Below are 23,576 nucleotides of genomic sequence, written 5' to 3' on the forward strand. Positions count from 1 at the left end.
ATGCACTGTGATGCCTATATAATTTTTGTATTTTTGGTAGAGACAGGGATTTACCATGTTGTGCAGGCTGCTCTCCAATTCCTGAGCTCTCGCAGTCTTTCCATCCCAAACTCGCCAAGTCCTGGGACTTACAGGCATGATCTGCCGTGCCCAACAAAAAGCTGTAATTTAAATATGGAGATGGGTATTCATTTATATATTATAAAAAAGTATATATGGGGGTGGAGCCAAGATGGCCGAATAAGAACAGCTCCGGTCCACAGCTCCCAGTGTGAGTGACGCAGAAGATGGGTGATTTCTGCATTTCCATCTGAGGTACCGGGTTCATCTCACTAGGGAGTGCCAGACAGTGGGTGCAGTGCCCCATGCAGGAGCTGAAGCAGGGCTAGGCATTGCCTCACTCGGGAAGTGCAAGGGGTCAGGGAGTTCCCTTTCCTAGTCAAAGAAAGGGGTGTCAGACGGCACCTGGAAGATCGGGTCACTCTCAACCTAATACTGAGCTTTTCCAACGGGCTTGAAAAACAGCACACCAGGAGATTATGTCCTGCACCTGGCTCAGAGGGTCCTACACCCACGGAGTCTTGCTGATTGCTCGCACAGCAGTCTGAGATCAAACTGCAAGGTGGCAGTAAGGCTGGGGGAAGGGTGCCTGCCATTGCCCAGGCTTGATTAGGTAAACAAAGCAGCTGGGAAGCTCCAACTGGGTGGAGCCCACCACAGCTCAAGGAGGCCTGCCTGCCTCTGTAGGCTCCACCTCTCGGGGCAGGGCACAGACAAACAAAAAGACAGCAGTAACCTCTGCAGACTTAAATGTCCATGTCTGACACCTTTGAAGAGAGTAGTGGTTCTCCCAACACGCAGCTGGAGATCTGAGAATGGCAGACTGCCTCCTCAAGTGGGTCCCTGACCCCCGAGCAGCCTAACTGGGGGGCACCCCGCAGTAAGGGCAGACTGACACCTCACACGGCCGGGTACTCCTCTGAGACAAAACTTCCAGGGGAACGATCAGGCAGCAGCATTTGCGGTTCACAAATATCCACTGTTCTACTGCCACCACTGTTCTGCAGCCATGGCTGCTGATACCCAGGCAAACAGGGTCTGGAGTGGACCTCTAGCAAACTCCAACAGACCTGCAGCTGAGGGTCCTGTCTGTTAGAGGGAAAACTAACAAACAGAAAGGACACCCACACCAAAAACCCATCTGTATGTCACCATCATCAAAGACGAAAAGTAGATAAAACCACAAACATGGGGAAAAAACAGAGCAGAAAAACTGGAAACTCTAAAAAGCAGAGTGCTTCTCCTCCTCCAAAGGAATGCAGCTCCTCACCAGCAATGGAAAAAAGCTGGACGGAGAATGACTTTGATGAGTTGAGAAAAGAAGGCTTCAGATGATCAAACTACTCCGAGCTACAGGAGAAATTTAAACCAATGGCAAAGAAGTTAAAAACTTTGAAAAAAAATTAGATGAATGGATAACCAGAATAATCAATGCAGAGAAGTCCTTAAAGGAGCTGATGGAGCTGAAAGGCAAGGCTCGAGAACTATGTGAAGAATGCAGAAGCCTCAGGAGCTGATGCGATTATCTGGAAGAAAGGATATCAGCGATGGAAGATGAAATGAATGAAATGAAGCGAGAAGGGAAGTTTAGAGAAAAAAGAATACAAAGAAACGAACAAAGCCTTCAAGAAATATGGGACTATGTGAAAAGACCAAATCTACATCTGATTGGTATACCTGAAAGTGACGGGGGGGAATGGAACCAAGTTGGAAAACACTCTGCAAGATATTATCCAGGAGAACTTACCCAATCTAGCAAGGCAGGCCAACATTCAGATTCAGGAAATACAGAGAACTCCACAAAGATACTCCTAGAGAAGAGCAACTCCAAGACACATAATTGTCAGATTCATCAAAGGTGAAATGAAGGAAAAATTGCTCAGGGCAGCCAGAGAGAAAGGTCGGGTTACCCACAAATGGAAGCCCATCAAACTAACAGCGGATCTCTCAGCCCAAACTCTACAAGCCAGAAGAGAGTGGGGGCCAATATTGAACATTCTTAAACCCAGAATTTCATATCCAGCCAAACTAGGCTTCATAAGTGAAGGAGAAATAAAATACTTTACAGACAAGCAAATGCTGAGAGATTTTGTCACCACCAGGCTTGCCTTAAAAGACCTCCTGAGGGAAGCGCTAAACATGGAAAGGAACAACCGGTAACAGCCACTGCAAAATCATGCCAAATTGTAAAGACCATCGAGGCCAGGAAGAAACTGCATCAACTAATGAGCAAAATAACCAGCTAACATCATAATGACAGGATCAAATTCACACATAACCATATTAACTTTAAATGTAAATGGGCTAAATGCTCCAATTAAAAGACACAGACTGGCAAATTGGATAAAGAGACAAGACCCATCAGTGTGCTTTATTCAGGAAACCCATCTCACATGCAGAGACACACATAAGCTCAAAATAAAGGGACGGAGGAAGATCTACCAAGCAAATGGAAAACAAAAAAAGGCAGGGGTTGCAATCCTAGTCTCTGATAAAACAGATTTTAAACCAACAAAGATCAAAAGAGACAAAGAAGGCCATTACATAATGATAAAGGGATCAATTCAACAAGAAGAGCTAACTATCCTAAATATATATATGCACCCAATACAGGAGCACCCAGATTCATAAAGCAAGCCCTCAGTGACCCACAAAGAGACTTAGACTCCCATGCAATAATAATGGGAGACTTTAACACCCCACTGTCAACATTAGACAGATCAATGAGACAGAAAGTTAAAAAGGATACCCAGGAATTGAACTCAGCTCTGCACCAAACAGACCTAATAGACATCTACAGAACTCTCCACCCCAAAACAACAGAATATACATTTTTTTTCAACACCACATCTCACCTATTCCAAAATTGACCACATAGTTGGAAGTAAAGCACTCCTCAGCAAATGTAAAAGCACAGAAATTATAGCAAACTGTCTCTCCAACCACAGTGCAATCAAACTAGAACTCAGGATTAAGAAACTCACTCAAAACCGCTCAACTACATGGAAACTGAACAACCTGCTCCTCAATGACTACTGGGTACATAATGAAATGAAGGCAGAAATAAAGATGTTCTTTGAAACCAATGAGAATAAAGACACAACATACCAGAATCTCTGGGGCACATGCAAAGCAGTCTGTAGAGGGAAATTTATAGCACTAAATGCCCACAAGACAAAGCAGGAAAGATCCAAAATTGACACCCTAACATCATAATTAAAAGAACTAGAAAAGCAAGAGCAAACACATTCAAAAGCTAGCAGAAGGCAAGAAATAACTAACATCAGAGCAGAACTGAAGGAAATAGAGACACAAAAAAACTCTTCAAAAAATTAATGAATCCAGGAGCTGGTTTTTTGAAAAGATCAACAAAATTGATAGACCGCTAGCAAGACTAATAAAGAAGAACACAGAGAAGAATCAAATAGATGTAATAAAAAACAATAAAAGGGATATCACCACCGATCCCACAGAAATACAATCTACTATCAGAGAATACTACAAACATCTCTATGCAAATAAACTAGAAAATCTAGAAGAAATGGAAAAATTCCTCGACACCTACACCCTCCCAAGGGTAAACCAGGAAGAAGTTGAATCTCTGAATAGACCAATAACAGGATCTGAAATTGTGGCAATAATCAATAGCTTACCAACCAAAAAAAGTCAAGGACCAGATGGATTCACAGCCCAATTCTACCAGAGGTACAAGGAGGAGCTTGTACCATTCCTTCTGAAACCAATCCAATCAATAGAAAAAGAGAGAATCCTCCCTAACTCATTTTATGAGGGCAACAACATCCTGATACCAAAGCCTGGCAGAGACACAACCAAAAAAGAGAATTTTAGACCAATATCCCTGATGAATATCGATGTAAAAATCCTCAGTAAAATACTGGCAAACCGAATCCAGCAGCACATCAAAAAGCTTATCCACCATGATCAAGTGGGCTTCCTCCCTGGGATGCAAGGCTGGTACAACATACCCAAATCAAAAAATGTAATCCGGCTTATAAACAGAACCAAAGACAAAAACCACCTGATTATCTCAATAGATGCAGAAAAGGCCTTTGACAAAATTCAACAACCCTTCATGCTAAAATCTCTCAATAAATTCTGTATTGATGGGACGTATCTCCAAATAATAAGAGATATCTATGACAAACCCACAGCCAATATCATACTGAATGGGCAAAAACTGGAAGCATTCCCTTTGAAAATGGGCACAAGACAGGGATGCCCTCTCACACCACTCCTATTCCACATAGTGTTGGAAGTTCTGGCCAGGGCAATCAGGCAGGAGAAGGAAAAAAAGTATTCAATTAGGAAAAGAGGAAGTCAAATTGTCCCTGTTTGCAGATGACATGACTGTACATCTAGAAAACCCCATTGTCTCAGCCCAAAATCTCCTTAAGCTGATAAGCAATTTCAGCAAAGTCTCAGGATACAAAATCAATGTGCAAAAATCACAAGCATTCTTATACACAACAACAGACAAACAGAGAGCCAAATCATGAGTGAACTCCCATTCACAATTGCTTCAAAGAGAATAACATACCTAAGAATCCAACTTACAAGGGACATGAAGGACCTCTTCAAGGAGAACTACAAACCACTGCTCAATGAAATAAAAGAGGATACAAAGAAATGGAAGAACATTCCATGCTCATGGGTAGTAAGAATCAATATTGTGAAAATGGCCATACTGCCCAAGGTAATTTATAGATTAAATGCCATCCCCATGAAGCTACCAATGACTTTCTTCACAGAATTGGAAAAAACTACTTTAAAGTTCATATGGAACCAAAAAAGAGCCCGCATTGCAAGGTCAATCCTAAACCAAAAGAACAAAGCCAGAGGCATCACGCTACCTGACTTCAAACTATACTACAAGGCTATGGTAACCAAAACAGCATGGTACTGGTACCAAAACAGAGACATAGATCAATGGAACAGAACAGAGCCCTCAGAAATAATGCTGCATATCTACAACCATCTGATCTTTGGCAAACCTGAGAAAAACAAGCAATGGGGAAAGGATTCCCTATTTGATAAATGGTGCTGGGGAAACAGGCTAGCCATATGTAGAAAGCCGAAACTGGATCCCTTTCTTACACCTTATACAAAAATTAATTCAAGATGGATTAAAGACTTCCATGTTAGACCTAAAACCATAAAAACCCTAGAAGAAAACCTAGGCAATATGATTCAGGACATAGGCATGGGCAAGGACTTCGTGCCTAAAACACCAAAAGCAATGGCAACAAAAGCCAAAATTGGCAAATGGGATCTAATTAAACTAAAGAGCTTCTGCACAGCAAAAGAAACTACCATCAGAGTGAACAGGCAACCTACAAAATGGGAGAAAATTTTTGCAACCTACTCATCTGACAAAGGGCTAACATCCAGAATCTACAATGAACTCAAACAAATTTACAAGAAAAAAACAAACAATCCCATCAAAAAGTGGGCCAAGGATATGAACAGACACTTCTCAGAAGAAGACATTTATGCAGCCAAAAAACACATGAAAAAATGCTCATCATCACTGGCCATCAGAGAAATGCAAATTGAAACCACAATGAGATACCATCTCACACCAGTTAGAATGGCGATCATTAAAAAGTCAGGAAACAACAGGTGCTGGAGAGGATGTGGAGAAATAGGAACACTTTTACACTGCTGGTTGGACTGTAAACTAGTTCAACCATTGTGGAAATCAGTGTGGCGATTCCTCAGGGATCTAGAACTAGAAATACCATTTGACCCAGACATCCCATTACTGGGTATATACCCAAAGGACTATAAATCATGCTGCTATAAAGACACATGCACACGTATGTTTATTGCGACGCTATCCACAATAGCAAAGACTTGGAACCAACCCAAATGTCCAACAATGATAGAACGGATTAAGAAAATGTGGCACATATACACCATGGAATAGTATGCAGCCATAAAAAATGATGAGTTCATGTCCTTTGCAGGGACATGGATGAAACTGGAAATCATCACTCTTAGCAAACTATTGCAAGGACAAAAAACCAAACACCACATGTTCTCACTCATAGGCGTGAATTGAACAATGAGAACACATGGACATAGGAAGGGGAACATCACACTCGGGGACTGTTGTGGGGTGGGGGGAGGGGGGAGGGATAGCAATAGGAGATACCTAATGCTAAATGACAAGTTAATGGGTGCCGCACACCAGCATGGCACATGTATACATATGTAACAAACCTGCACATTGTGCACATGTGCCCTAAAACTTAAAGTATAATAATAATAAAATTTAAAAAGTATATATATTTACATATACATAATATATTTTAACTTTATGTATATTAATGTATATACAAGCTTGTATGTAAATTTATAAATGGATATCAAATTAACATACACGTGTGTTTGTTGTTACATTTTAAATTTACATTTCACAATTTGCCAAGTCATGTTATTAGTAGTACTTAAGTGTATTTTTGTTTAATTGAACTTATTAAGGTTAAAAGAACCTTTGAACTGAAAAAAAAAAATGCCTAAAACTTCAAAAAGAAGAAACATATGGACAGCTTCCTCTATGCATCCCACAGTATATTAAATGTTGATTTCTGGGCACCTTGGAAATTTCAGTGTCTGAATGAAACATTGCAGCAAGGGTTGGAGTTGTTGCTCTGCTGCAGATTTTTTCTTTATTTCTGTAACAGTCCTGCATTAATCCTCTTCCACCCCTCATCTCAGCTTATACTTCAGGAAGTTGCCTTGATTAGCCTTTCTTGGCACAAGATGGATACTGCTTCCTAAAACCCATGGGGCAACAACAAAGATATTATAGAGAAATTTTGGCTAAACTCAAGACTTTCTCTGGGCACCCGAGGAAGAAATAGCTGACAAATACTGTCAGAAGAAATGTTGGGTAATCCTGTGGAAGATCAAAACATCATCTATGTTTTGACCCTTTCATCAGTTCTGAACTCCTGAAAAAAAAAAAAAAAAAGGTGATTCCAGTGGTGAGTTTTACACACCCATATGATTTACTCTTCCCTTTAGCAAAAGCAAAACTCTTCACAAGGCATAGAGATTTACTATCCTGAATCTTGATCTCTGTATTCAATTGTCCTACCATGCTGCAGTTTTTCTATATAACTAACATAGAAGCAGAAAGTATCTAGATTCTGCAGTTGGAGAGCATGAAACATTCATACCACTGGCCATAGCTGCACGTGACTCTCTCAAGTTTTTTTTTTTTTTTTTTTTTTTTTAGAGAAACAATTCTCAGAAAGTTATAACCCATAGCTTCAAGAAACAGACATTCTATATCACTAGACTGCTGGCATTATTCCTATACTTTGCCAAAAGAGCAGCATGAAAATAGACTCAATGATCCATAGTGGAACTACCTGAGTCAATCCCTTCATCTGTAACTCTGAAACACTGAAAATGTTGCTGTAAATGTATCTACAATTACTGCCCAGCATCATGCAAATGACTCATTAGCCTGAAACTCAGAAATGTTTAAAAATTTATAAGGTTTTAGGAGAGTTTCCCCTGATGTTGTTTGAATTGCTAAGAAGTCTTACAGTGGACTTCGTACCTTAGGACATCCACGGACTAATTACGTTCCGTGGGTCAAATCCAGCCCACTACTTGTTTCTGTAAATAAAGTTTTACTGGAAAACAGCCATGCCCATTCATTTGTATATTGTCTGTGCCTGCTTTTGTGGTATGATAGAAGAGCTCAGTTACTACAACAGAGATTATGTATCTCACAGAGATGAAAATGTTTACTATTTGACTCTTTTTATTAAAAGTAGGCCAATTTCATAGAACTATTAACAGTACTAAAATATAAAGCTGTCTCCCCCTTTTTTTCTAATCTTTCTCAACTTGTCATGTCTTTACAAAATAAATTTATATTTGATGTTGTTCTAAGTAAGGAAAAAATAAAATATTTAGTCACTGGCATGGTTTTCCATTTTTACCTTTATATTGTGTAATGCCAATTTTGAACTCCAGTATCTGAGCAGTTAACATGTATTCAGAATCACTGAAATTACACAAGCTGTTATTTTGTAGCATATGCATAAGTATCTACTGCATTCTTACCAGAACAGGGGAAGTGTGCTACACAAAATGAACTCAGCTGATTTTATTTTACTTCCTGATATTGACATATTCTAGCAACACTGTACCTTCAGCTCACTGATGATAAGGAAGGCATGTAACTAACAGGAACCACAGGTTGTCCTCTCATCCCCATCTCCTCTATAACATCATTTTCCACATAAGTGGTTGCCTGACACAGCAAGAAGAATAAGAGATAGGATAGAGTTCTTGTTTGTTCTGGGATTTTTTAGAATTTCATTGCCACTTATCTATATTTAAAGTAGGTTCTAATTTGTACTCAAAGCATGACCTCTCTGGGATGCAAGAGCACTCACTTTGTCATAGAAGTAATAACCTCACTTTGTGAATCTTACTGAATTTTCCCTTATTGCCAGTCCAGCAGAATTCTGTGCCCAAGAGGGTTCATGAACACTGTATGCAATTGGGTAGGAAAGAACAGTGGCAGAAGTGCATATGGTGCATATCTCCTCTAACCATGTGCATGCATTCCTCTTCTTTCATTGCATTCCACATATGAAAGGAAAGTGCAAAGATTAATTCTTCAGAATTTCAAGACAGCAGTAGCAGAACTCTAAACCTAGCATGGGGCGCTCTGAACCCCAGGACCCTGGGGATTGCTTGAGGCCACACACCTGTGGAAGAGACACTGAGGTATGGAATGGAAATGTAAATGAATGCTGCCTAATTTCTGTTTTCAATCAATATTTTCCTTCCTCATCAAAGGAGACAACTATACTGAATGTCCTGCTAACTTTTCTAGCACTACTCTATTGTTAGAGAATACATTCTTAAGTTTTGCTTGAATTTGAATGTTATGTAAGAGAATCATACTGTTTATAGTGTCTTCCTTAGGTTCTTTCCTTGAACACGGTATTTTTCAGAGATTCACGCAGGGTGATTCATAATCATGAAGTCTAGTGATCTTCATTGCTGTATAATATTTCTGAGTAACTGATTTAACACAAATTGATTATCCATCTTCTTTTTGATAAGTATGTGTGCATTTTGAGTTTTTTTCAGCATTCTGAAGCTCCTTTGAATTTCACTTTTATGAGAGTTCTGTGCATGTATGTTTGTAATATTTTATTGATATTTTGGCATCTATTGATAAGTGAATCTATTTAGATTATAGTTGATATATTAACATGTTTGAATTATATTTTAAAAATATTCAAGCACTAGGAAAAATGTTGTGCATTCCTGAAATGAACTTCAGTTGATCGTGATGAATATTATATTTTCTAGCTCCGTCAAAAGACGTTGTTAGAAATACCCCTATATGCATTTCATGGTGTAAGGAGTTCCTGAGTATCTGTTACATATGCATTCAAGTAGAGTTCTACACTTATGGTTCATTTTTAGAACAGACATTGTAGAGTGACAGCAAACTGTATTCTGAAAGCACGGTAACAATTTATAATCCAAGTAGATATGAGAGAAAGTTCAAACTGATCTAAGCCTCAACATCACAGTGTTTCAGCCAACTATATGGTAAGAAATGATGCCTCGTTGTTAGTGAAATTTATAATTTTTTATGAACAAACTTTATGGTTTTATATTTTTATAAAATCCAAATGATAACTTTTCTACACCACCTGTTTGAAAAATTCCCATTATTATAGCATAGTATATGCATGTATATATGTTATTGGTATATTTTCTGGTAAAATATATTGAAGATACATTCTCCAAATTAGATGCATCACATATCACTCAATTTTAACATTGGATGGGCAAAATTTTTAACTTTAATGTAGTTGAATTAATCAAAATTTTAACCTTGGTTATAGTTTTTTATATTCCTTTTCTTTGTTTAAGATTACAGAGTTTCACTCTGTGGCCCAGGCTGGAGTGTGTTGCTGTAATCTCTGCTCAATGCAACATCTGCCTCCTAGGTTCAAGTGATTCCCGTGCCTCAGACTCCTGAGTTGCTGGGATTACAGGCACCCATCATCATAGCCAGCTAATATTTGTATTTTTAGTAGATATGTTTTTGCCATGTTGGCCAGGTTGGTCTCTAATGCCTGGCCTCAGGTGATCCATCTGCCTTGGCCTCCCAAAATGTTGAGATTACAGGTCTGAGCCACCATGTCTGGCCCAGTTTTTTATATACTTAATCATCTAGTATTGGAGCAGCAATGAAAGGAAATTAAAGAATATGTAAGCAGAAACTCTGTTATATGTAAAAAAAAAAAAAAAAAAAAAAAAAAATCCCCGAGAAAGAGAAAGAGCTGGAGCGCTTTATAAATTAACTGCCTGTTTTTCTGTCACTAGTGAGCCTTATCTCTCCTACTTTCCCAGGCATGGCGAAGATCCTGTTTCTCCAGCTGTGCAGTTGCAAGGTCACTAGACAGATAAACTCAAGTCATAAAACATGTTTTTCCTTGAAAAGTAGAAATGATGTAATGCGTGTCTTAATTGAATAACTGTCTTTGTTTCTCACTTCTGTAATATGCTTGTCCCTGCACAGATCTACCCCCAACCCACAAAATGCTTAAAATGTAACTTACCTCTTTGTTCAGTGCTCAGTCCTTTGCATGTTAATCTGACTGGACTGGTGCACCTAAAAAATAAATATCCTCCTCAACCCCATCAGTCTTTCTGATTCCTTATCAATCCCACTACAGTATGATAAAGATATTTTCAAACACTTTGATATTTTTAAGGTTTTTAATTGCTCCTAAGTTTTAAAGTTCTAATATCAGGCTTTAAGGTCTAAGCAAACCTGTAATTATTTTTTAATGTAATTACTTATTTAAATTTTATAATTTGTACAAGATACTTTACTAAAATGTTTACCTTTCTTCATTCATGAATAAATTATGTTTCCATAAATGTCTGTTTGGTCTCACTTTTTTTTTGTTGGTAGGTAAACCTATCCTAGCATCAGTATTATGCTCTTCTAAGATTTAACAGTAAGGCATATGGAATCTCGTGGAACACATCTTCCACCTTCATCATTTCCATAAAGGGTTTCTTGGTGTATCTCATGCAATTGTCTCTCTATATAAATTTTTGGATTAGCTTATTGATTTCTACAAAACATCTTTTTGGGAATTTTATTTAAATTTTATTGACTCCATAGGTTAATTAAGAGACAATTGTCATCATTATTTATTGAGTCTAATTATATTTTGTCAAGTAAAATTTTTGTTTGTTGTCTTTATAAATTATATGATAATCTGCATTTTCTAAATGATTATTACTATTGAAGATAAGAAAATTGATTTTTAAAAGCTGATTTTATATCTAACAACACTATTAAATATTCATGTTGATTTGACCAATATGAGTTTGACAGTATATTTGTGTAGATTTTCTCTATGTATTATCATATGATTGATAAATAGTGACATTTTCCTCCTTTTCCATTCATAAAACTGTTCTTTCTTTCCTCTTCTATCCAGCAAAATAAAGAAGAGAGGCTCTGATAAAAAGCATTATTGCATTTCCTGATCTTAAATACAACAAACATTGTTTGCTATAGGTTTTCTTAGTGTCCTGTCCCTCATCAAGAAAGCACCTTTGAATTCCAGTTTTCTAAGAGCTCTGTGCATGAAAGTTTATAATATATTATGAATTTATTTGTATCTATAAATAAGTGAACATATTGAGATGATGGTGTATATATTAGTGAGTGTAAATTATATATAAAAATATTCCAGCACTAAGAAAAATATTATGTGTTCCTGGAATCAACTTCAAGAGATCATGATATTACATTTTATGCAATCAACTTTTTTACGTGTGTGTATCTGTAGTTTCATTTCTGTGGTGATGAGTGAGACAGGTGTGGAGTAAATCAGTCCATTACATTCTTTTCTAGGTTACTTGAATTTGACATCTCAGTTCAGCATTGTAAACTCTTACAATGAACTCATAAAGTTAGAACAAAGTTAAAAATAATTGCTATCTAAGTATCAGAGTTAGAATAAATTATTCCCAAGGTTTCCCCTCACTTTAAGTTTCCCTGATTCTTGTATTTTTTACTTAAATTGGATATACAATTATTATTTTTTCATTATTTAATTCATAATACATTTGGTAAAATAATTTCTTTTTAAGTAAAACATTTAATAGTGCAGTTTGGTTCGTGTTAATTATACTTCAACGAACCCCTTATGTTACTTGCCTAGTGACAGAGTATGTGGGTAAACAGTTGATCAATATTCTGCTAAATGTTACTTATGAGATTTTCTATTTAAACAATCACATATTGTCACTTTTGTTTGTCATTAGTTTAGTATTGTATCTTGAAAATTTAGTATGTGCTGTTTTAATTATTACACAGACAATATCTGTATATCTATTGTCTATATCTATATTTATCTACCATATGTCTCTATATATTATCCATCATCATCATGATGTATATCTGTCATCAAATTATCTAGCTATCATGTACTATACCTATCATCCATTCTTAGGTATTACCTATCTTTCTCATTACCATACCTATGCATTCTATCTATTTACCTTATCTATATATCTTTCTATCTTTCTATATTACACTGAAGTGGTTTATCTTTTTGTGGTGGAGGTTGTTTTAGGAACGGTGTTTAGACTCTATAAAATCTCATTGAATTAAGTTGAATGAAAAGCATTTTTTCACATGGCGTAAAGGCTTATACCTGTAATTTTAGTACTTTGGGAGGCTAAGGCAAGAGGATTGCTCAAGGCCAGGAATTTCGAGACCAGCCTGGATGACACAGAGATACAAAATAACAATGATTAGGCAGGTATGGTGGTGCACACCCGTGGTCCCAGATACTTGGTAGCCAGCTTCAGGAGGACTGCTTGAGCCTGGGAGATTGAGGCTGCAGTGAGCCATGATTGTGCCACTGCACTCAATCCCCATGCCACTCGATACCCCATGGCACTACCACTGTACAAAATACCCCATGACTGAATGTTTATAAATATCCTAATAGTCAGTATTAACACACTTATGCATGTCAACCCGAAGACATAAAGAAGGTTAATACATTGCTCTATAAAACACCTTTATTTGGAAAAAAAATGGGCATTTATAGGATCAGGAAAAATATTCTTCTTACCTTTGAACCTCCATATATTTTTCTCTTCACAGGTAGGGCCCTTGTACCTATGCCAAAGATTCAGGCAAGTAATGTTATTCTTAGGACCAATTTCTGTCCTCAAATAAAATGTGCTATTTCATTTAAAAGTCAATTAAAAATAAAACAGGTAAGAGGGCCAGTTGGGAGGTAGAGACAATAACACTATAAAAATCCATGACTAAAGCACAGAATTAACTAAGTTCTGTTAATTCATCATCTATATAAAGGCAGCAATGCACAGATGAATGTAAATTAAATTTTGAAATTAATTTTTGATTGTGGGTAGAGTTGAAACTAAAATTTATTTTTATATTTTTATTTCCTAATTTTTAAAAATTTCATAAATAAAAATCAGTAGTGAATATTCAAGGGCTGGATTTCTGTTCAATGGATAGAATTCTGTTTAATGGTTTTCTAGAAGGTGAAGAAAACACTTAGTACAGCCAACTTCTCTGAAAATCTACCACCTCGGTTATCCCCACTGATTAAATCTCTCGATGGTGTACTCTGACAAAAGATTTGCCTAAAAGTTATTGACTCAAGGAGAAAATAATTTCAAAACCAATAACAAAAATATTTCTTATAAAATTAAGTGTTGAAGCTGAACATGGAAGAAGAGAATGAATGGGAATTTCATAAACGTATGAAGAGATAAAAAAGAGAATGGGCAAATAGATGAGTTAATGAGAAGGGTTACTCTCACAGTAAAACTTAAAACCAAGAGAGGCAAGTACAAAGCAAAACAGAAACATTATAAATCTAAATGAGCAATAAATGCAAATAGGAAAAATATATATAAATTCTGAGACTGTGTGTTCCTGTAAGAGGAAAAAGATTTTTATCTTTAATTGAATCTGAGCAATGATATGCTGAATTCTCTAGGAATCTGTCAGGACAAACGTATTTTTTCCCTTCCTGTTTATAGTGACTCAGGTAGTCACTGCCTTCTTGGAAACCATGTGAGATGCAGTGCCTCTTCATTGTGCATCAGGCAGATCCATTCAAACACCTGCCCAAACACTGAGAACAGGCCACTTTACTACTGCACTCAGTCTTGCAAGGTTCAAAAGGTTTAAAGAGAGCAGTGATGCAAGGGAAAACATCTTTAAATAAATAGGTGGAAATTCAATGCTAGAATGTTACAGCAAGTAATGAAATGGAATCTGAAAATATTGTAATTGCATACAATTTTTGGCCCAAGTGTATTTTACCAAAAACATAACAAGAAAAATATTGGCCAGGCACAGTGGCTCATACCTCTAATTTCAGCAATTTGGGAGGCCAAGGCGGGCAGATCACTTGAAACCAGGAGTTCAAGACCAGCCTGGCCAACATGGTGAAACCCCATATCTACTAAAAATACACACACACCAAAAAAAAAAAAAAAATTGCTGGAAATTGTGGTGCCTGTCAGTAATTCCAGCTACTCTGGAGGCTGAGGCAGGAGAACAAGTTGAACCCAGGAGGTGGAGGCTGCAGTGAGCTGAGATCAAGCCACTGCACTCCAGCCTGGGCAAGACAGTGAGTGAGACTCCATCTTAAAAAAAAAAAAAAAAAAACAGAAAAAAAATTTGCATATAGAGAGGTATACACATACATACACATACATAGTGTGTACGTGTGTACGTCTATGTTTGTTTGCATAGAAAAAGAGTGAGCTATAGAAGTGAATATTTACCACCTATCTTGTTATCCATCCATCTAACTTTTCATTCATATCTCCTGTTCATCCATCGTTCATCCTCTAGTTCATCAAATATTCTCTATCATCAATAATCAATATTTTATATAAAACTTAAGTATCTTTTCTGTTACCTCTCTGTCCCTCAATCCAGCATCACTTGTTACTAAATATTTATTAATATCCTAAATTATATATATATTATTTATGTGTCTTTTATATTGTCTAGCTAAACTACCTATCTATCCTATTTATCCATTTATCAATTATCTATTATCAATAAGCTATATTCATCGCTGGCATCTAAACATACTTTCTATCATTTCTTCATGTATGCATTCATCATCTATATCTATTACTTTTTTCAAATATCTACGTGTCATATCTATTATTGAAATAGCATTTCCACTGTCTATCCATCCATCCAACATCTATCTCTCCCATTTAGGTACCCATCTATCATCCAACTTATATACATCGATTATCAATTATCCATATTTTATATCTATTATTTAAATATATCTTCTATTATCCATCTATCCATCATCTATCAATCTCACCTGTCTATCTTCTATCAATCTTATCTATCTGGCGTATCCATCTACAGAAACATACACAAACATCTGAGTGGTACTGACTGTCCACAGATTGTAAATTTCAAGGAGAAAGAGAAGGAGAAGAGTAAAAACCCGAGGCATATTTCCAAGGTACCCTCTTCCCAGTATTCTACCCCCATTTTCCAGAATGGGACTAGATGGTGTGGTTCTGTGAGACAGAGAAGGCTGAGTGTTTACTGCAACTTAGTCTGTTAACAGAAAAGAAAAGAGAAAAGCAAGTAGGCAGTGTATTTTGAAGTCATTCCCCAGGGCCTATGGAAGCTGTCAATTTAGGTTATGTATTTTATTTGCAAAATTCCATTCAATATCTCTATTAATTGGCATTAATATTATTCTTGTTTGTATATGTAACTGTGCCACTTTCAAGGGGAGTTGATGCTTATGAGAGGAGGTGCCATCTGGTCTTCCTGGGTAGAGTAGGGGCTCAGAAAGCTGTGAAACTCACTTATTTCCTGCATCAGGACATACTTTGGTCCTGGATGAATAATATTGAAGATATATGTTTAAAATATCCCTAACATCAGAATTTGTACATGTGTTTTCTTCCCCAAGAAAGCTAGAAACAGTGAAAATGTTGTTGTAAGCTTCCCTGTGTCCTCTCTCCCTTCCCCATCCCCTGAAACTAAAAGGAATATTAAAAGCCTGTTTTTCTGTGACAAGCAGAGGTTATCTATTCTCCCAATTCCAATTATTTGGAAACACAATTTGTAAAATCCTGTGAGATACTGACTCCTTTGCCTTGACTCTGCAAGGTCATAAAGTAGACAAAACAAGTGGCAGTTCTGGTTTTCTTCAAGATCTGAGACACGTTAATTGTCTTTGTTTCTCGCTCTGGTAACATCTTCCGTCCACACGTATTTCGCGCCTTGAAGAGTTTAAAAGGTGATTGAAAAATCTAACACTGGCTACCCGCTTGGGAGCCCTTCCATGCTGTGGAAGCTTTGTACTGTTACTCTGCTTAATAAAGCCTACAACCTCTTTCTCTCAGTCCTATCCGTATCTCTCTCTCACCACAGGCTGCTGCCACACCAATCCTTTGGCATGGCTAAGACAAGACCCTTTGGCATTACACTTATAGAAGGGAACCCTTATGACTTTATTGACAATTCTATGACATCCCTCTGCTACTGAGTCTATGAAGGAGAAACTATTGTCTTTTTCAACATAACTCTAAGTTGTATATAACCGGACAATTTTCAGTAATTTTATTCATTTTCTGAAAGACATACGAGGCAAACTATCATATGCCTTGGGTATCCATCCATTATTTCAGGGTGTAATGATAGCTTTTCTTTGAAGATAAAATTATTGTAACCCTGAGACATGATGGAAAATTTATTCATTTTTCTAATTCATTTTTCTAAATTAATGTATTTTTCTACAGGTTTTGATATTTTTCCAAAGTAGTTTGATGTTTAGGATCAATAAAATTATGCCAGCATCTTGACACATGCATTGATGAAACCTGAAAATATACACTGTAAATTTTATAATGTATTTTTAAAATACCGTACTTACAGAATTGTGCCTAAGTCATAATTTTCATTTCCTTTTTTTCAATACTGAAAACCTGCTTTCACTAATTTCCTGGCTACCTCAGTGGACTGCCTTCATAGCAATTAATTTGATCTCTGGCTTAATGAAGTCACATATCTTCAACATCTGTTTTCTTCAAAACTCAACTGCTTTTTTTTTTTCTGTTTAATATGTATTGAGAATCACAGAAACAATTACTTTCCTGTATTTTACTGAGGTTTTATTTTTCCATCTTTCATTTTATTTTTGGAGAATTATTCACACAATAGAAGAATTATGAAGGAAAGTGCCCTAAAAAATAAATAAATAAAATACTGCAGACTTATGGGCACATTTGATAGGGTAATCAGAGATTAACATTTTCAGACAGATATGATAAACTTGGAATCTACTGGGAATATCAACCACTTTAAAATTTTTCACTTTCTGTTTTGGAAAGAGCATATGAGAAGTAGATAACTACAGGTATTTGGCATTTCCAAGATTTTTGTCCTGGCGTCTCAAATGTCTCTCATTCCATGATTTAAGCACGGGAAAGGAGGGATTGTGAGTAGGGTTTAATTGTAATCGGCAGCAGACAAGCTCTGAGGCTCTGCAGTCTTGACCTTGAAGATTACTCAGTCTTTATGATTCCAACAAAATGCTGGTGGTGTTACTGGACCCATCTAGGGGTTCCTTGCCTGGCACAGTAAGGCCAAACATTCACACTGAGGTTTTGAAGCAGCGGAAAGGAGGGTGTTTATATTTGCAGGACACCAAGCAAAGAGAATTGGGCAGTTCTCACTGAAGACCTAACCTCCCGGTGGCTTGCAAGTAATGGTTTTTAAAGGCAGTAGTACATTTCAGGAATGCAGAAGTCACAGGTAACATTGTAAATGAATACGTGGAGATCATACATTGGTTTTAATGGGAATAATATTCAAAATCCTAAGGAAATTGGACACTCAAACAAAGGATTCTTAGCAAAGCCATTTTATTTCTGCACAGAGGGGTGCTTCTCCTTGGCCAGTAGCCATGAGAGCACACCTGAATAAAGGGGCACAAGAGACATCATTCCTGATGCAAGTCATGTCAGGCCTCTGAGTCTAAGCCTACACGTATACATCCAGATGACCTGAAGCAACTGAAGAATTACAAAAGAAGTGAAAATGGCCCGTTCCTGTTTAACTGATAACATTATCTTGTGAAATTCCTTCTCCTGGCTCAGGAGCTCCCCCACTGTGCACCTTGTGACCCCCACCCCTTCCTGCAAGAGAGCAAACACCCTTTGACTATAATTTTGCACTACCTACCCAAATCCTATAAAACTGCCCCACCCATAACTCTCTTTGCCAACTCCTTTTCAGACTCAGCCTGCCTGCACCCAGGTGGAAAAAAACAGCTTTATTGCTCACGCAAAGCCTGTTTAATTGTTCTTTTCACACAGATGTGTGTGACAAGTCCTGCCCCGTATGTACCCTTTCCCCATTGGCCAGGGTCGGGTCATACTCTCTAAACTAATCCTGGTTGGCTAAACATCTGAACTTTTTTTTTTTTTTTAAATAAGTTGGGCACATAAAGGAGAGAGGGGAAAAAAACGGTGTCTGTAATGAGCTAGACAGCTAGTCTTGTTTCTAAATAGTGAAAGGAATGTGAGCTGGCAACGCCTGGTACTGTGGCATGTCTGGGCATATAAAAAAGGGAGAAAGGAAGAAAAAAGAGAGAAAAAGGAAAAAGGGATGTAGGGGGGATGCTATAAATTAAACAATAAAGGATTGATCAGGCTATTTAAAGAGAAACCTCCTCATATCCCACAGTTTGAATTAAAAAGGCAGGATATTTTGAAGTGGGCCACCCAAAAATGACAGCTGGATTGAAATATTTTCTGATTTCTGATTGGTTAAGGAGGGAAAGTTTTATCTAAAAAATTGCCTTCAGCAGAAAAGAACGTTAACTCTGGTCTGTGGGTGTGACTTCCTCCAATCTCATCAGGAAGAAATGTAAAACAAAGAATACTGGCAAGAGTTAAGTCCTTAGTTCCCCCATATCTGATGGGGATCTACATGCTAGTGGATCCATTTGTTGGGAATTCATTGACTTTTCAATGACTAACTGAATGGTTTCTTCCCCATACACTAGTCAAGCAAAATGCTTGCTAAAGGAACATTTGTTAACAAGCACATTGCCTACTGTTAAGAGGCCCTTTTGAGAAAAGGGTGGCCTGGGTTAAAACATCCTCTCACCTACTAGTTGGTACAGTTACCTTTTCATCCTATATACCCATAAAAGAAAAGCTTATTTTCCACTTAACCTGTGAACTGCCAGCAGATATCATAAAAGGAGAGTTTACCTGACTGCTATAGTCATCTTCTCTCTCCTGTTGCAATCATCCTATCCAGAAAAAAAAAAAAAAAAAGTCTCCTTACCTAAATCCAAATTTTCTTTTCACACACACCAACATTTCCTTTTTTTTTTTTTTTTTTTTTTTTTTTGGTGACAGAGTTTCAGTCTGTCACTCAGGCTGGAGAGTTCAGTAGCATGATCTCAGCTCACTGCAACCTCTGCCTCCCAGGTTCAAGCAATTTTCCTGCCTCAGCCTCCTGAGTAGCTGGGACTACAGGTGCCCACCACCATGCCTGGCCAACTTTATGTATTTTTAGTAGATACTTCGTTTGCCATGTTTGCAAGGCTGGTCTTGAACTCCTGACCTCAAGTGGTCTGTCCACCTTGGCCTCCCAAAGTGCTGAGATTATGGCGTGAGCCACTGTGCCCAGCCCATATGCCAAAATTCAAGTAAGGAGAACAAGGGCTATCCTGATCTCAGAATTTATTCAGGAAATATAACAAAAATCAATGGCTTTTTTTTGAATCTCTGAAGATATTTTTATTGATGATATAATTGTGGATGAAAAGAAAAAAAACAGATGTTGAAATTAAACATACCTGGCTTATTTCATTGACCCCTTTTAAACTGGTCCTGTTGTTGTAACTGAGCTAGTTATAGAGAAATGCCACACTTTGAGACTAATTTAGCAGTCCTTTATTTGCTGATGTACCCCACCCAGAATGGATATCAGGCTGAGCTGGAGGTCTTGTCATTGCAGCTGAGGTTTAGCAACCAGGAGTGGTGGTGGAACAGTTAAATTGACCCTGTCTGGGTGTTTTTGGAACATAGGATGCTGAACACAGTTTCAACATCAAATCCAGCGATATAAAGCCTTAATCCCCATGACATGCCATAATGCCATTGAGCTAAATTGGGGTTACGGATGGTTATAGTAAGAAGATTGCAATTTCCCCTTGCACACAGTTTAGGATGGGAAGCATGAGCTATGGAAAAGGTTGAAGGTCGGATTGATCCCCCAGAGTAGGTGGCCAAAGTTATACATGTCTAGTCAGGGCAGAAAAATTGGTAAGAATCTTGACACCTAGAGTCAAGGTGATTTCCAGGACAGAAGTAAAGTTCAACGTTCTGGAGTCCTTTTTCTGCACCTTTGGAGCTTCCACATCCAGTCTAGCCTCTGGAGTGTCCAAACTCTGCAGCAAGGTCGATGTTCCCTGCTCCTATGATTGGCAGATTGTGTTGCTCTTCGAACGTATGAGCAGGCTCTGGAAACAGAGCACATAAATCGACTGCCAAAGAGACTTCCTTGTAGGTCCCCGACTTCCAGGTGGTGTTTGCAAACACACTTCCTGTCATGAAAGAAGTCAGGAATAAAGAGTAGGAAGAAGCAGAGGGCACGACAGGCAGAAACAAACAAAAGAGATAAAGAATTAATCTACTGGCTTCACTTGACTTAGGTGCAGTTGTAAGGGGCCTCTACCAGTCTTGGGGACCCATGTTTCTTGCTGGGTTTTGTTAGTCTTCTTGATGCAAGAGTGATGAATCCAAGCAGGAATGTTATCTACTTTTAGAGCTCTTGGTGTGGTGAGGATGACAGTATCAGGTCCTTTTCAGGCAGGAGTAAGTCCTTCTTTCTGGAACTTTTTAACATACACCAGGTCACCTGGCTGGAAAGAGTGGCAGAGCCCCTTGTGGTCGGGAACTGGATTGGGATGTGCTCCTCAGACATGTGGCTGGATAATGTCTTGTACCTGTTGCAGAGACTGCTGGTACTGTAACAAATTAGCTTGTGAGATTTCTGTTAAATGGGTATCTCTTAGTTTGGACAAGGTAGGAGGAGCCCTCCCAGACATGATTTCAAAAGGTGAAAACCTAGCCTGGTAAGGGGTGCATCTTACTTTAAGAAGGTCTAGAGAAAGGAGTTTTACCCAATTCTCACTGGTCTCTAGGATTAATATTGTAAGATTACTTTTTAGGATGCAGTTCATGCATTCTACCTGCCTAGAGCTCTGGGGTTGATAGGCACAATGGAGTTTCCATTGAATGTTTAATGTCTCACTAACTGATTGAGCTACAGATGAGGTGAAGGCTGGTCCATTATCAGACCCTATGGCAGCGGGCAGCCCATGTCAAGGAGTGATTTCATTGAGTAATAGCTTAACTACCATGGTGGCAGTCTCGTTTTTGGTGGCAAATGCCTCAGTCCATCTGGAAAAGGTGTCTACTAGCACCAGGAGGTATTTATACACTGCCCAGTGTGGTTTTATCTCTGTAAAGTCAATTCCCACCTTTCTCCTGGTGAGTCTCCCCAGAGGCGGTGGCCTGGGCTGGGTTTAGGACCTTCCTTGTCATTTACCTGAGCACAACCTATACACCAGAGGGCTGCTTGGTTAGCTAAGCCCTGAAGGTGGAGGATCTTGAAATGGCTCTTTAGAAGCTGGGCCAGTTTTATTGCTCTCAAATGTGTGGTAGAATGCAGATGACTGGTTAAAGTTTCCCCGAGGACTTGGGGCATGAAGATTCTGGGATCAGGAAGAATTCACCAACCTTCCTGATTTTTACTGGCCTGAAGATCTGAAGCCTCTTTTTCCTCCTCTAGGGAGTATTCTGGGTGGTCTCGAAAGTCAGGCTGCAGAAAGGATATAGAGGGCAGCAGAGTCAAAGGCATGACTGGAAACTGAGCTGTCTTTTTAGCTGCAGAATCTGCTCTTTGGTTACCACAAGCAATGACCATATCTTCTTTTTGTTGTCCTTCGCAGTGAATTACAGCCACCTGTTGAGGGAACCAAACAGCTTCAAGCAAGGCCAAAATTTCTTCTTTATTTTTGATAGTTTTTCCTTCTGAGGTGAGTAGCCCATGCTCCTGATAGATGGCTCTGTGTACATGGACAGTAGCAAACGTATATCTGCTGTCAGTGTAGATGTTAATGCATTTATTTTTGCCCTATCGGAAGCTTGAGTGAGGGCAACTAATCAGCCCTCTTTGCCAAGTTGCCTGCCAGCAGCACCTGGGCCCACAGTATATCTGTTTCCATAGTAATGGCTGGAGCAGGCTTTCATACTCCTTGTTTGAGGAAGCTGCTACTCTCTGTAAATGTGGTGGTGTCTGCCTCCTTTAAAGGCACATCTTGGAGATCAGGTCAGCCAATTTCTATAGTCACTAACAGTTCCTCACAGTCATGGATAGGTGTGGTAAGGTCTGGATCAGGGAGCAAGGTAGATGGATTTAAACACCTTGTGGGAGAGAAAGTTACACGAGGCTGATCTAACAGTAAATTTTGATACTGCAGGATGCAAGCGTTCGACATCTATTTGGCAGAAGCACTTTGTAGCAATGTCTCTATGGCACGAGGAGCCATAAGGGTTAAATTTTTACCTAGAGTCAGTTTATCAGACTCCTGAACCAGGCTTGCTGTGGCTGCTATGGCTCGCAGACATCTTGGCCACCTGGAGGCCACAGGGTCCAGGGGTCCAGTTTCTTAGACAAATAGGCCACTGGGCATCACCATGGCCCCAAAGTTTGAGTGAGTACCCGTCTAGTGACTCCCTGGCTTTCATGAACAAAAAGGTGAAATGGTTTTGAGATTATTTGGGAGGGCTAGAGCAGGGTCCTCAGTTAATGGTTTTTTCCAGTATTGAAAAGCCTGTTCCTCTGTGTAAGTCCAAGCTAGCAGGTCATTTTCTCCTATAACAGAGTTTAGGGGCTTGGTGATTTCCACAAACCCTGATATCCATAGATGACAGTATCCTACAGACCCCAGGAATTCATGTACCTGTCTCTTGGTGATGGGAGTGGGGATCCACAGGATGGTTTCCTTTTGAGCACTGGTGAGTGCCCTTTTTCCCTTGTCTATCTCATACCCCAGATAGGAAACCCTGGGGAGATAAAGCTTGGTCTTCTTAGCTGAAACCCAGTACCCAAGTTTCTGGAGAAGGCAAAGCAGGTCTCTAGTATATTGCAGGCGGCTGTCAGTAGTTTTAGCAGCTAATAAAAGGTCATCCACGTACTGGAGAAAAGTGCAGTTAGGGTGACTGGCTCAGAATGGTATGAGATCTTGTTGGAGGGCTTCTCCAAAAAGTGTGGGGGAATTTTTAAAACCCTGGGGTAGCTGAGTCCAGGTTAATTGAGTGGTGTCTCCCAAGCCAGGATCTGT

This window comes from Homo sapiens, chromosome Y, assembly GCF_000001405.40.
Source record: "Homo sapiens chromosome Y, GRCh38.p14 Primary Assembly".
NCBI lineage: Eukaryota > Metazoa > Chordata > Mammalia > Primates > Hominidae > Homo > Homo sapiens.